At 39.3% G+C, this 16,577-nt stretch overlaps 1 protein-coding gene across 9 annotated transcripts in view; it reads left to right on the top strand.

Annotated features, from left to right (window-relative positions):
- Positions 1-16,577, top strand: part of CD226 (CD226 molecule) — a 108,500-nt gene that overhangs the window by 65,329 nt on the left and 26,594 nt on the right. For all 9 annotated transcript variants that reach the window (XM_006722374.4, NM_001303619.2, NM_006566.4 and 6 more), the window contains one exon: positions 400-744. In XM_006722374.4, coding sequence (XP_006722437.1) covers positions 400-744 — 345 coding nt within the window. The remainder of the gene's footprint in view (positions 1-399; positions 745-16,577) is intronic.

Raw genomic sequence — 16,577 nt, 5'->3', positions numbered from 1 at the left:
CTTTGGGAGGCCGAGGTGGGCGGATCACAAGGTCAGGAGATTGAGACCATCCTGGCTAACACGGTGAAAGCCCGTCTCTACTAAAAATACAAAAAATTAGCCGGGCGCGGTGGCGGGCGCCTATAGTCCCAGCTACTCAGGAGGCTGAGGCAGGAGAATGGCGTGAACCTGGGAGGTGGAGGTTGCATTGAGCCGAGATCACACCACTGCACTCTAGTCTGGGTGACAGAGCAAGACTCCGTCTCAGGAAAAAAAAAAAAAAAGTAGTATAAAGAGGTCATTCACAACGGAAGAACTGTGTTAGGTAACATCACCAATTATTTTTATGATTAAGTATCTTCCAGTTGGGTGTCCCAAAATTTGACAACCTGTATCTAATCATTTGCTTCTTCTTTTCAGATAGTTTTGAGGCAGCTGTGCCATCAAATAGCCACATTGTTTCGGAACCTGGAAAGAATGTCACACTCACTTGTCAGCCTCAGATGACGTGGCCTGTGCAGGCAGTGAGGTGGGAAAAGATCCAGCCCCGTCAGATCGACCTCTTAACTTACTGCAACTTGGTCCATGGCAGAAATTTCACCTCCAAGTTCCCAAGACAAATAGTGAGCAACTGCAGCCACGGAAGGTGGAGCGTCATCGTCATCCCCGATGTCACAGTCTCAGACTCGGGGCTTTACCGCTGCTACTTGCAGGCCAGCGCAGGAGAAAACGAAACCTTCGTGATGAGATTGACTGTAGCCGAGGGTGAGTGAGCACCAGACATCTTCTGGTATCAAACATGGAAAAAGCCAGCCCCGTGGGCTGGTCTCTGTTTTTATTTATGGTAAACATGTTCATTTAATGCGCATATTCAGCATTTTTTTAAATGGCTGAATTTAGGTGAGTTGGCCATTATTCTAGTATTGAGGGTTTCTTTATCTTGTGAATCCATCAATCAGATACAGCAATAAAAATCTTTCCAATTTTCTTATCTGCCACCATCCTGAAGCTTAAAAAAGAAATTCGTAAAGGGCTGAAAAACATATGGTATTACCAGCCTTCAGGTTTCAGCTGTAGAACTCCTATCTTCCCAATTACATGAATATTTTTGATGGTGGTGATAAGGTGTTAGAATCCCCACATACCCCAGCAATACAAGACAGTGCTAGGTTGATATGGCTGAAGCAGGGCTGCGTTGAGTGCATTTCAGCAGGTGTTTGAGAATGCGGTTGCCAGTTTGCCAGACAGGAGCCTTTTTTTCTCTCAGTCTTTTTCAGATGTGGATGCAGAAACAGACTGATGTTGCATCTTAATATTACTAGGAAAATAGGTTTGACCTTGCAGATCCCCAAAAGGGACACAGGGATCCTCAGGGACCCCCAAACATACTATAAGAACCACTGACTTAGATCTTTGGTGACCATTACTGAGTATAATCTTTGTGCTGGTGAAATTGGCCTTTGGGGCTTCCACCTCCTCCAAGGCCTCCTCCAAGGCACCACACTATTTGTATATTAGGCATTTGTCTTTTTTTTGTCACAATGAAGCCTTTCATTGTGTTTCAGGACCTGCAAAACCTAGATCCACTTTGCATGAGTATGAGAAAAAGTAATTTCTTTCACTTACAGAAGTGCTAATATAGAGAGGCCCATATAGAGGTCTGTGTAGAGGCCTGCATTACAGTTGAGAGAGAGGAAGGCCATCCCAGGCTCTCCCAGCTCTGCCTCTGGGCCAGCTTCCTCACTGTCGGGACACGGAAGAGAAAATAATTTATTTTTACCTTTCACTTTGTTCTCCCTTCTTCCTTTCCTTCCTCCCTCCCCTCCCCTCCTCCCCTCCCCTTCCTTCCCTCCCCTACCTTCCCCCTCCCCTGCCCTCCCCCTCCCCATCTCCCTCCCCTTCCCTCCCCCCCCTCCCCTCCCCTCCCCTCCTGTCTCTCCCCTCCCCTCCCCTCCTTTCTCTCCCCTCCCCTCCCTTCCCTTCTCTCCCCTCCCTTCCCTTCCCTCCCCTCCCCTCCCCTCCCTTCCCTCCCTCCCTCCCTCCCTTCCTTCCTTCCTTCCTTCCTTCCTTCCTTCCTTCCTTCCTTCCTCCCACTTGAGCAGGCCCCTTCCAAAGCACTGCACTATTTGTGTATTAGGCATTTGTCTCTTTTGTCACAATGAATCCTTAAATTGTGTAAGATTCCAGCCCCCACAAAACCTAGATCCACTTTGTATGATTGTGAGAAAAAGTGATTTTTTTTTTATTTACAGAAGTACAAATATAGAGGTCCATATAGAGTTCTGTGTAGAGGCCTGTATTACAGTTCCCTCCCTCCCTTTCTCCCTCACTCTCTTCCATCTTTCCTTCCCTTCCTTCCTTCTTTCACTCTGTTCCATTCCCTTTTCTTTTCTTCCTTCCCTTCTCCCTTCCACATGCTTTCAGCCAGCTAATTTACCTTTGACTTATGTTAGACTTGTAGAGCCAACGCTTGCTAGGCTTTGGCTGTCCCTTTATAGACTTTGCTCATATTGCAAACTGATATTTCTTCCTGTGTTGAAAATGAAGAAGAAAAGGTCTTGTATAAACAGAAGCTTCCACTATAGCTCTGTGTATAATAAGGAGAGCATTTTCAGGGAATAACATCTTTTCATACACAATCACCTTGGACCACATCAAGCCTCCCTTGTTCCTCTAGGAACTGTGGTGAGACATACATTGGACTTAGAATTTAATGAAAATGATGAGTGGTTGGTGAAATATTTGGGGGAGGAAAAATTAGCAGAGACTCCTCATTTTAAATGTTGACTCTGTTCCTTCAGACACAGACAAAAAGAACTTCTTACCTAAAAATCCCTTGCATTATGGAAGTATTTTTTGAAACTGGTCAGGAAAAAGAAACAGTGAAAACAGATTAGAGACCAAGGCAAGAAAAAAATGTTCTATTCAGAAAAGTGTCATAAAGAATCATTTTCAAACACGTATAAGATTTTGCCCATTATATGCTGAAAAAGTAATTGTAAACATCTTAAATTATAGAGAAAATGAAGGTAACAGATTTTTAGGAGATATGGTTATTTAACTCTTATTAATTAATAAAAATGTCATTCATCTGTCCAAAGATGACTAAGTTTCTTGCACAAAACTATTTCTTTGTATGTAAATTATAAACAGCGTCAAACTCTGCCAATGAAATGAAGATGACTAAATGTAATGGTCAGTAGTGTTAGTGTCCATGTGTTTTGAACAGTTGCAAATGGCTTTTTGACATTCAGTTGACAGATTGAAAGAATGTCAACTGGACCTTGTATCCATTAGTAAAAAGTTATCATTGACAGAAGATGACAGCCATTGACTGTATGTTTCAGTTTAATTCCTTTTTTCAATTTTTATAAGTGAAAGATTGAATATAAAACTTAGATGCAAAGCAAAACAGATCATTTGTGTTTTCTCTGGTGCAATTTGATTATTTCACGTCTTGAGGCTCTTTGGTCAAAAATCAATGTGGAGATTAAAGCAGAGAGACAGATATAAGATGTGGGACAGATTTAATTTATTTCAACTGCCAAGGGAAAGGTGATTGTGGCAGATTTTATAAATTGCTGTACATACTTTTGTTAGTTCTCAATGACTTCTTTTATAGCACATAGTATTGGATCTAAAAGAGAGATTTTTAGGACTCTCATATTCATACACACACACACACATGCACACACAGACACGGACACACACACAGAGAGGGGCTCTTCCCCTGACTCCTACCTGCCTGCATTCATCTTCAGACAAGTACCAGGTCACTCAACAGAGGACCCCTGCCAACCAGCAGGTCAAGTATCCAGGCCTTGATTGGTTTTGAACAGAGGAGAAAATGGCAGAAGCAAGAACTGAACTCACATTTACCACTGACTTTCTTTGCTGAGTGAAAAGAAATACATTTCTCTTGTCCTTTGCACTTATGTCCTGAAATGTAGAATGAAATAATTCCAGACTGACTTTTCTGAATTTGAAACTTGCCTGGACCGAAGGGCAAGGAAAGTGGGGACGGGGGGAGCACAGGGGAATGTCTGTTTATTGACAGTGACTACAGTTATTTTTGGCCCTTAACATCCTCTGGATTTTCATTTGTCATAAGAGAAGTATTTTAGGTGCCACTAAAATAATTTGTCAAATATTTTAATATTAGCTAAATGATTTGCAGACTACTATTGTTTAAACTGACCTTATTGGCTATAAAAAGAATGAAGGCAAAAGAAATAAAATCAGCTCTTGCAGAAAGTTTCTGGAGGAGGCTAATATTGAAAAAACTTCTGTTTGCTATTGATAAGTATAATTACTCATGTCCTTGTATAATCGTCTTCCACCAGTGAGACCACTCAGGCGGGACCATCAAGGTTCAAATGAGGCATTGATGATTAGAGCTGAGGAATGACATGAAACAGGTTATGAAGAGTAACCCCAAATATGCAGGAGGAATGGGGAGATGGTGCATGGGAGACTGTAGTCAAATGACTAGGTTGGTATGGAGAGTCTAAGTTATGTATTAATATGGGACGAGGTAGGTTAAATTAAGTGATGACAGTGAAAACCTGCATCTCATATAATTGTCAAGCAAAGCTACCATTAGTTCTTGAGCAAAGATGGCAAAACAATAATCATGAAAGAATAAGTTGCTATATGATTTTCAGTGTGCAAGTCTTTAACATTTTTGGTTAAGTTTATTCTTAAATACTTTATTCCTTTTATTGTTATTGGGGATGGGATTTTGTTTTAATTCCTTTTTTGGATAGTTTGCTGTTTGTGTACAGAAACCTGACTGATATTTTATATGTTGATTTTTGTATCCTGCCTCTTAACTGAATTCATTTATTAGTTTGAACAGGTTTTTTTGTGGCACTTTTAGGGTTTTATACATATATGATTATGTCATCGGCAAACAGAGATAATATTACTTCTTCCTTTCTGATTTGAATGCCTTTTGTTTTCTTTTTCTTGTTTAATGGCTCTGATTAAGACTTCTTGTACTATGTTAAGCAGAGGTGTTGAAAGTGGCCACCTTTGTCTTTTTCCTGATCTTAGAGCAAAAGTTCTCAGTCTTACATGACTTGGTATGATGTTAGCTGTGGGCTTTTCATAGATGGCCTTTATTGTGTTGGGGTAAATTCTTTCTGTACCTAATTTGTTGAGAGTTTTTTTTTTTTAATCACACAAGGATGTTGAATTTGTCAAATGCTTTTTATGCTCTATTTTGATGATCATGTGGCCTTTTTATATCACTTTGTTAATGTGGTGTATTACATTGATTGATTTACATATGTTGAACCATCTTTGCATGCCAGGGATAAATCAGAATTGATTAGAATATACAATCCATTTAATGTGATGGTGAATTTAGTTTGCTAGTATTTTGTTGAGGATTTTTTCATCTGTGTTCATTAGGGATGTCAGCCTGTAGGTTTTTTTTTTTTTTTTGTGGTGTCTTTGTCTGGTTTTGGTATCAGGGTGATGCTGGTCTCATAAACTGAGTTTAGAACTGCTTCTTTTTTTAAAAAAGAATTAAATCATTTATTGATTACACATGATAATGTAGAACTGTTTCTAAACTCAGGATTGGCATTAATTCCTAGAATGTTTGATAGAATTCATCTGTGAAGCCACCTGGTCCTGGGATCAGTGATGGGTCATAGGCCACTGATCCACCTACCTTTGTAGGCACAAAGGTGTCCTACACAGGGTAGAGAGATACTGTCAGCATGATTTGAATCTCAGTTTGTGCTTTCCACTGCCTCAAAACACTCACACTTTCCTACTTTCTCCTTTTTCTAACTGACTAAGTTTCCATCACATTTGCTTTCTTTCCTATAGAGTTTCAGCCGTCTCAATGTCTATGTTTTTTTCCACATCAGACCAAACTGCTTCCCCATCATTGAAATATTAAGCATCTTGGATTTCTCAAACTTTTATAGTCTGAAAATTGCTACCCTCGAGTGACTTATTAACTTCCATCTATTTGTATTTATTTATTTATTTATTTTTTGAGACCGGGTTATGAGACTGGCTAATTTTTGTATTTTTGGTAGAGATGGGGTTTCAAGGATGGTCCTGGGCTCAAGCAATCCCCTGCCTCAGCCTCCTAAAGTGCTGGGATTGGTAGTGTGAACCACCACACCTGGCCTGCATCTATTTGTAATGTTCCAAACTCTGGTTATCAGAAATTAATTGAGATTAAGGATTATGGCATCTGCTTAAAGTTGTCAAAGCATCTTTTCAGAATATGCCCAGTAAGTGTTCTTGACCGATTATGTTAATGTTTCTATTCATTCTAGTAGGGGCTGTGTCCATTTTAATTTTAAGTTTTCTACCTCTTTTCTTTCCAGATTTTTTTTCTTCAACGTTTAACCTTTGAGGTTTACTGATTGTTGATCAAAGAAACTGAACTTTCAAAAGATCAACTACAGTGATTGGAGAAAAAACTTTCATGAACTCTTGTTTACATATATAACTTTCAGATAGGGCTATTTACTTTTTTAACTTTCATTTTCTTATTTTGAATTTTTAATATAAGTGGCACATAATTGCTGGTCATCTGAATAGAAGGATGGGATTAGTAAATTAAGATTACAAAACTATTCACTAGGAAATCATAGTGCCACAGCTAAGAGAATCTTCCCAGATATTTCCTCTGGGACGATGTGAGGTATAGGATTGACAAGGAGGAAGGACAGGGGAATAGAGTGCTGTAAGTTATAAATACATCCGTATATAGATGATACATCTTATTTATACAGATTATAAATCTTGCCTGTAGATGGCTTGTGGGAGGTTACTGACTTTGAGACTCTGTGCTCCTGAGTTGGATTATAAAATTATTGAAGAAAGGAAATAAATTTTGCTTATTTCCTTGGCCTTTTATTTCTGTCAAAAACCAACCAGTTTGCTCCCAGTCCATTTGGATTCCAGAAGAGTTTCAGGTTGTAGACAAGACAGTTTTTTTTTTTTTTTAAGGATTCCATTAATCCAGAACCTTCTGTCCCACTCCTATGAATTTAGAATAGATATAAAGCTTGTGGACATGAGGATTGTCTGAACTGGTGTGCACTGGGCTGACAGATATGTCCCTTTCCATGACATTGTGTGGTGAACCTCAGCCTTTTATTATCTTTACCTACATGGAAAGTAAAATGTCCATGACAGTTAATTTATATGATGGAGCAACACGACCAGAATCCCAGAGCACCGTGTCACTGCTCACAAGCTAAAATAACCTCTACTCAAACAGATCAACCACAATTTTCAGCCCAATTTAGTTTTCTCGGTGAAACTGGGTATCCAGATGAAACATAGTTTCCAGCATCACAAGTGAGTTGATTACTCAATCATGGCTATTATGTGGTTGAATCTTTACTTTACTGTTGCCTCTGCCCAGATCATTTTTTTTAATGATCTATTGCATTCAAAAAAATGCAACCGGTCAGTTAATTTGTTTTGTAAGCCCTAGTATTGATCTATTCATTTTTTGAACACACAAAAACCTAGAATGTTTGCCTGCAGTCATTTTTTATACATACTATTATTGTATAGATAAGTAAGATATTGAATAATAGTGATAAGTTATTGTCAGAGGGAATGAAACTCTAAAAGGTTACATGCTGAATTTATCTGATGACACTATTATATTGAAGAACATTGTTGACTGTACATTGCTACCTCATGTACATAAAGCAAGTTCTAACAGAACACCACTATAAACAATGCAAGTTTGTAGAATTAGAAAGCAGTTGATCCTAGGAACTGCTGTTCTACAGGTGGACCTTTATCTTCTGATTGAATTTTCAACTCTTTTCATAAAGTTTTTCTCTCCCTGGGAACTTAGACTACAAGTCAGGATTCACATTCAGACAAATGTACTGATTTTCTTCCTACTTAAAATTCACACATGGTGCTTTGGGAGGCTGAGGCGGTAGGAGTCCTTGAGCCCAAGAATTAGTGGCTGCAGTGAGCTATGACTGCACCATTGCACTGCAGCCTGGGCAACAGAGCCAGAACCTGTCTCCAAAAAAAAAAAAAAAAAAAGAGAAAGGAAAAAAATAGTCAGTGCATGGCTACATTTATTTGAGACCTTTCAAATGACTCTGACTGTGAAATAACCATTTATACTTTATTGTCGTATATGGAATTTACATTCTAAAAGCACCTGGGAATTGTTAACAGCTTGAGGTTGTCTCTTAGAGCCTTATTAAAAACTGAACATAAATGATTGATCAAAGATTTCTCCAAAAGCAAGTAGAAAATTACTTAAAATGTAAAATAAGTTATTCTTATAAGATTAATAGCATTTCATTCTTAATAGAAATTCTAATTTAAGTATTACAACTCAATCAGTCGATTACTTTGAACTTCATCTGAAGTATTTCAAACATTATTGACATGGATCCTGATAAATATTCAAAGGCGATGTACTAGGTTTCTGGAGGACTATGTTGTTTAAGAGGACGGAAAATGAAGAATAAACAGATCTGTCATAAGTAGAAGTATATCTTTGAACCCCAATTTCTATCTTTAAGCTATTATTTATACTAAAATGATTCAGGGATTTTAAAAATACATTTATTCAACAGGAATATAAGTTTTTTTGGTGCAACTTTTATAAAATAAATATTTTGCAATCTTCATTGAGCACTCTAAAATTCATTTCCAGGATTAATTCAATGTTTTTAACTTTGGTAGAACTCAAAGGTAGGCCATGGTGTTCACAATCCTTTAGATATGAGTGGCATTTTAATTAATTAACTCACAGGGAGAGAGTCTTTCACAAGTATCAAGTTGAAATGTTAATACTCTCAGTTGGATTGGTGGAAAGTGAAAATGGCTTTAGCTATGTTGGACAGTGAGTGAAACAATAAAAAAAACCTTATTGTGATGATGATGGACACGGGTAAAATAAAAAGTAGATGCTGAGTTGAGAAGATTTCATTAACAAAGGGTGGGGTATTTTCTGTGGGACGCAATGTGTAAATGAACCCATGGGAGGGAAGTTTATACAGAAAAATACAGGCTCACCAAGTATAGTTATCCTGATGTCACTGTGTCTTCAGTTTTTCACATCTTATGTGGAGCATTAGGATTGATTATTCACTCTTTTAATTTGTGTGTGTGTGTGTGTGTGTATGTGTAGGTGTATGAACTGAGATATCTATGAATATTTGTTAGGAGGAGTAACAAGTTTATTTTTCAACCTGCCGTATGGTAAACACTCAACAAATACACACGATTGTGTGGGCAACTTTATAACCACACTTACCATATGCACACATGCCAAATCCCAAATATTTTAATCCAAACAAGTCATTTTGCTTTTATATTGACTATTTTCTCTTCCTGATCCAGCAGATAAAGGTATCAGTTTTGAAATCTAATCATATAATTCATTTTTAAATTATTGGCTCTTTTTAAAAAAGAGAGATGAGATGGGTTATTAAACTCTAGAGCATAAAGCAGCAGATTTTGAAATTATTCCTAGTTATTATTTCTTATAGCCAGGCATAGGCTTTCATGTTTTGTAGAGCACTTAGGGAATTTTTTTCATAAAATGGTTTAAAATTGGATAGTCTATTTGGAGGTATTCAGCCTAAGGCTTGCTGAATTTCATATTCTGAAAAGATCTGTACAACATTTATAACACCTTTAGATATAAGTCTTTGTAAATGCTATATGGTTTGCATTTTCAAGTTTCCTTTTTTTAAAAAATTATTTTTACTTTTATTTTTATTTTTATTTTTTTTTTGAGACAGGTTCTCACTCTGTTGCCCAGGCTGGAGTGCAATGGCACGATCTCGGCTCACTGCAACCTCCTCCTCCTGGGTTCAAGCGATTCTTCTGCCTCAGCCTCCCAAGCAGCTGGGATTACAGGCACCTGCCACCATGCCCAGCTAATTTTTGTATTTTTAGAAGAGACGGGGTTTCACCACATTGGTCAAGCTGGTCTCGAAGTCCTGACCTCAGGTGATCCACCCACCTCGGCCTTCCAAAGTGCCGGGATTGCAGACGTGAGCCACTGCACCTGGTCACATTTTGAAGTTTTCTAAGGACCCAAGGAAAGAGTTATAAGTAGCTGTTCTAAGAATTACGTGTCACAGGGCTTTGTCTTGGTCGCTATATGATAAACACACATACCATGTTTCTATGTGTGCCAGTGGCTGTTCTGAGAATTTACTCGTAGTTACTGATTTACTTGTCACAGCAGCCTGACTGCCCACGTTTGACGTCTGTGGAAAGTGAGGTATGGAGAGTTGACGGGACTTATCTCAGGCTTGGTAACTAATAAATAGAGGGGCAGGGATTCAGATGCGGGCTGACTGGCTTCAGAGTTCCTATTCTTGGCCCCAGCACTACTTTTCTGCTCAAAGTGGAAGAGAAAAACTACTCTCATCAGGAGACTCATCACAACAGAAGCTGGTGACGGTGGAGCTACAGAGCGTCCTTCTTCAAGAGGTTTATACAAGTGATAGGTTTCAGGCTGAACCAATGTCTAGAGCAAGTTTAGGCAAAGGAGTCGGGGAGCGGGGGTGGTTCGTGGTCTCCCGCTACTTTATTTCAGCTCGGGATCCTTCGCTGACGCCAATGCTATGAGGGGACCTTCTCCCCTTCCTTCCTGTCTTCCTTCTAGGGGCTTGTGCACATCATGGAGTCACGTGAGGCAGGCTGTCCACACAGTGCCATGAGGGACAGGCACAATCAGGTAGCAGGTGTGAAGGCCTGGAGGGGAGGTGCTGGTTGCTGGTGAAGTCAAATCCACACCAGGAACAGATTAGGGGAACTTTAGGAGTAGCCTCTGCGCAAAGGAGACCTGGTGATGGCTCAGGTCTCATAGGCACAGCTTCTGGCCACTACAAAGCACCTGTTCTCATGGCCTCACCAGATCCACCCACTGGACGCTTCCTGTGTGGGAAAGTCCACTCCCTTGAACAGCTTTCCAGGAATCTGCTAAAAGTTCCCAAGCACGCCCTTCCTTCCTCCTTCTGAGGCTTCTCCCTTCTTCTCTTCCTGTCAAATCCTGCTCTCTTGCTCTTGTGCCCAGACCGTAATGGCTTCTTGAAACCAGAGCTGGAGTAATCAGAATACTAGTCCCTCCTTCCTTAGGGACAGTGAGGGCTTCACCTCTAAAATCTCCCTTCCAAAAACAAAAGTTTATTTTCCATATTAAAACATTCTGAACACTTATGTTCTCTCATGTTTATGTAGTTTATATTGTACAGCTAAATACATAATATATTTAAATGGTATGGTATGCCTATTGTGTGTCCTGTTGCAACCTGCAGACACCAGGTTGTTTATCTTGATTTCACTACAACATTTGAAAAATTTCCTATTTCCTGAGGATAAGCATAATGGTAGCACTGTAATGTAGAGTTATACCTGATTAAACAACAGTAATAATAAAAGTGTGCCGGAGAAATATAATTAGAAACAAAATCTCCTCCCTACCCAGAAAACTGCTCCACAAAGGTAGAAAACAAAATAATTTTGTTATTGAATAAGCACTAAATCAGAATGTAATGCATGTCACAGGCAACCTCCTAAGAGACTGCAAAGACAAAGAAATCTCACTCTCTCATACAGCCAAGTAGATACAACCCATTACATACATGCTCTAAAGATGAATGATAACTAGTCTTCAAGTAAGAGGGCTTGTCAGACATTTGTCACACATGCTTCATCCTAGATTCAACTGGTAATTGGGGATGACTGTGTGTGTTAGCTAATAATTGGCTTTATCCAAAGGAAAAACAAACTTCTCACATCTTTATGACAGGAGGTACTTTTGCACCTTGAGTGAGGTGCTTGTGGTAGTTTTCTACCCTCTCAGAAATTGGGAGGTAAGGGTGCTGTCTTCCTTGATGGTTACATTTCAAAGGGATGGCTCCCAGGTCCTCGAGAAAGACATTTCTCCATCAAAAGCTGACAAAAGACTTATCTGGCCGTTAAAAAGATGTGCATGTCTTTCAAAGAGACAGAGACAGAACTGCCAATTACAAGTTTTCTAAAGTCAATACCCTAAGAAAGGAGGGAGGAGAAATCCACTGGCAGACTGGGGCTCAGCAGCTGGAGCTCCCCTGGAAGGTGCTTTCTAGAGTAGAGCAGTGTTTCTCAATGCCATTCTGTGGAACACCAACATCAGGATCATCTGGTATGCTTGCTGAAAGACATGGATTCCTGGGACTTGTTCCCAGGCCTAGGAATCAGGGTGATATTCCACAAGGCTCCATGTGGTCATTTGTATTGTTTTGTTTTAGAGACAGGGTCTTGCTCTGTCATCCAGGCCTGGGACTACAGTCCTTAGGACGGCCTGCCTGCAAGGTTGGCTCTCTGTGGGCATGTGAGAACTTGGATTTTTGGAGGCTTTCAACAATTCTCTGACTGCTGGGGTGGCTTATTCTGTCTAAATGTTTATACAACCCATGTGGTTTATGCTAAACACCTGCTTTTCTTCAGGGACATCAGCCAGTCCTTCTGACTTTGCCCAGGCAGTTTATCCCTTTGCTGATTTGCTTTGGATCCTTCTGCTGTCATAAACCTGAGCTGTGACGTGGGTACAGGCTGAAAGCTGTGTGTCCTTCCAGCAAATCCCAGATCCTGGGGAGGGGGCACCCTGAACACAACCGTGAAATAGTGTGTTGGTTGCCTTTTAATACTGATGGCTCATTTTAAGATGATATTTCTATTGTTATAAGAACATATACATTCTCATACTAGTTTTATTTGAAACACAGTTTGCATATACAATAGGCCTTATTTCTGTAGGCAATAAGTAATGACATGTCTTATATACATACATCTTCTAAGTTTAGTAAAGCTTATTCCTTTTATGTACCAAGTTTTTAAATTATCATTTTTAGATGGAAAGAATTCGAAGCTGGATAGCATGTTTCTTTGCCTTACTAAACAGAGGACAATAGATATAACCATCCTGTGGCTGTCCTGGTGTCCTCTGAGCACCAAGTCTTGCGCTTTGCTCTATGTGGTGGGATATAATGAGAAGCAAGATGGTTAATCCCCGCTTTAAATTACCTTGTGCCATTATACTCTTGTATGTTTGTTTGTTTGAATTTGGTCCCCTCGCTCACTACAAAGCATCACCTACCTCGTTTGTTTTCCTCAATATTCCATAGTCTATTTTTTGCCATTTTTCTAGGTTTTTTTTATTGTTATAAAAAACAACGGTTTTAAAGTTAAAGTTAAAAAATAACTTCTGTTATGACAGGAAGCCAGATTCCCAAGAGACACTTTATGAGTCAAAGGTGACAGTATCTATGACAGTCTCACTGCTATGCTTATCCAAGCAGAGAACTTGTTGCATCTACTTCATCTTCTTTTTTATGGACTTGGCATTTAATTTCTAATTCCTGATTTCAATCAAGACATGTCTACAGACATGAACACAAAAGCACTAGAAATAAAGCTAAACAGAAACAGTCTTGGCTAGGCTTTGACTCAGAGTCAAGTGTCCATAATAATCCCTTGGAGCCAGGCGTGGTGGCTCCTGCCTGTAATCCCAATGCTTTGGGAGGCCATTTCAGTAGGACTGCTTGAGGTCTAGAGTTCAACCCCAGCCTGAGCAACATAGCGAGATCTTGTCTCTACAAACAATTTAAAAAAATGTTAGCTGGGCCTGGTGGCATGTGCCTGTGGTCCCAGCTACTTGGGAGGCTGAGGCAGGAGGATCACCCAGAATCCAAGCCTGCTACATGAACTCTTTTCTGCACACTAATTCACTAAGACAGTGAGAAAGGTATGTGCAGCTCTTGACATTCTGACTTTTGAAGCATCTATATAGTCTCTTTAAATAATATGTTCATAAAAATTGAGGTAAATGTGCAAGAAGTATAAGACTCAGAAATATTTGGGTAAAAATATGAGATATCTAATACAAAGGAGTCAGCCGTAACATTTTTCTCAATAAATGTGTCAATTTGAAGATGTTCCCATCTCTTTGTCCTCATGTGCTCACTTAAATATCCTTGCCATACACCAATCACTGTGGAGAACTTATGGCCCACAGTACTGAATGATGCTACATTATCGCACCAGAAGAAGTAGCTAATACAGTCATTCTATATTGTGTAGGTAAAACGTACACACAAGCTATCTTAGGGTATATGTTTCTCAACTGACATAAACCTTTAAAGTGTTTAAACTATTTGGGACAAGTATTTTCAACATAAAGAAAGTTTCCCACCTGATATACTAATTTTGCTATAATTTGCCATCAAGAGAGGCAAATTGTAGCAAAATTTCTACATCAGCTAGGAAGCTTGCTTCCCTCACTGGTTTGCTCTATAATGACAGAAAAATTATTTAGATTCTCTGGGCCTTATGTTTCTTAGTTAAAACCTGATAATACTTTTATTTTGAGGAAAAGTAGTTGCTATTTACTCAGAAGAAGGATTAGAGGTTGAAGCCATGGCCCTTTAATTCTCTGAAAATAATTTACACTCTAGGACCTTCTAGCTATAAAACACAGAAAGGTTTCTGAAATACAGAGTATAAAACTGATTTATCTGGACAAAGAAAGTTGACCTTTGAAAACTTGGAATAATATTACCATACCAATATCCACGTGATGCGTATTTCAGGCATACAGGAAAGTTCAACACACTTTGTGCTACTATTATTTCCGGTGGTCTGCCAAGGCAACAGTTATTGTATAGATGTTTACCAACAGTACCTGTGCCTTTCCCCAGGAAGGCGAGTCTAGCTGCAGGAGCAAGCATGCTCTGCTGTACACGACTACTTCAATGTGACATCTCAACATGAAAAAAATAGAAACAAGTTATCTGATTAACCCTCATTTGGAATGTGTCTACGTAAAATATAAATGCATATTAAATATGCATGATTAATAACCTAAATCGTTTGGCGCTTAAAATGTTGAAACCACCTCTGCATGCTTGATTTAAATCTCATAGCTACCCTTGTGGTTAATTTTATCATCATTATGCAGTTGCCAAAAAAAACTGTTTAAAACATTAAGTGTCCTATGTGAAGTCTTCCAGGGGAAAGAATTAGAAGACAGGACTAGGCCCCAAGGCTTTTCTCCTCAGTCTCTGTTTTCAATAAACCAATGTCTAAAGTGGGACAAAGGTTGAATATTTGTTTACATTATATAGAAGGTCAAAACTTTGTATGACCTGATAATGCAGAATCTGTCAGCTCACCCACATCTGCTCTGTGTGAACTCACTCATTATGGTCCATCTGTACACAAAACAAGGTCTAATATTTCAGTTTATTTTCTTAAAATCTAAAAAAAGTTAATTTTATTTTAGTTGACAAATAATATTTGTGCATATTTTGGGGGTACGCTGTGATATTTTGACATATGTATACAATGTAGAGTGATTAAATCAAGCCAATTAACATATCCACCACTTCATTTACCTATGATTTCTACTGTGAGATATTTGAAATTTACTCAGTCACTTTGAAGTATACATTATTATTGACTATAGAGACTCTGCTGTATGATAAATCTTAAAACTTGGCTGGGTGCTGTGGCTCACGCCTGTAATTCCAGCACTTTAGGAGACCGAGGCAGGTGGATCCCTCGAGGTCAGGAGTTCGAGACCAGCATGGCCAACATGGTGAAACCCCATCTCTACTAAAATATAAAAATTAGCTGGGCATTGTGGCGGGCGCCTGTAGTCCCAGCTACTCAGGGGGCTGAGGCAGGAGAATCGCTTGAACCCAGGAGGCGGAGGTTGCAGTGAGCCGAGATCGTGCCACTGCACTCCAGCCTGGGTGACAAAACGAGACTCTGTCTCAAAAAAAAAAAAAAAAGAAATCTTAAGACTTATTCCCCTCGTGTATCTGAAATTTTGTACTCTTTGACCAACAACTCCCATTATCTCCCTCCCCATTCTCTTGCACAGCCTCTGGTAACCATCATTCTACTTTCTACTTCTAAGACATTAATTTTTTTAGGTTCCATATTTAAGTGAGATTATGTGGTATTTGTCTTTCAACAGTGTGCGAGGGTTCTCTCTTCTCCATACCCTTGCCAACTCTTTCTTCTTTCTCCCCTTTCCTTCCCTCCTTCTTTCTTTCTTTCCCCTTCCTTCCTTCCTTCCTTCCTTTCTTTCTTTCTTTCTTTCTTTCTTTCTCTCTTTCTTTTTCTTTCTTTCTTTCTCTTCTCTTCCTTTCCCTTCCCTTCCCTTCCCTCCCCTTCCTTCTTTCCGCCTTCCTTACTTCCTTTCTCTTTCTTTCTCCTCCCTGCCTGCCTGCCTGCCTTCCTCCCCCGCTTTCCTTCCCTTCCATTCCTTTCCTCTTTCTCTCTCTCTCTCCTTTCTTTCTTTCTTCTTTTACTGAAACAAAAGTTCTCACATATTTATTACTGAACCTACCTACTAGTGCAGAGCATATAAACAAAGAGAAAAAACATATTCCCAATAAAACATGTTCGACTGTCCAGATAGTGGTGACATTCACAGATCGATATGGTGACATGATCATGACTTTGACACAGCGTAAACCTGTGTGCCATCTCACGTACAATTCCGTATAAACCCAGCTTGGTTCTTCTTCAGTGGCTCCGTTTTGGAGCTGTAACTGGTTGTATTACCAGCT

Source organism: Homo sapiens, chromosome 18 (genome assembly GCF_000001405.40).
Source record: "Homo sapiens chromosome 18, GRCh38.p14 Primary Assembly".
Classification (NCBI taxonomy): Eukaryota; Metazoa; Chordata; class Mammalia; order Primates; family Hominidae; genus Homo; species Homo sapiens.
This window is presented reverse-complemented; position numbering and strand designations above follow the sequence as displayed.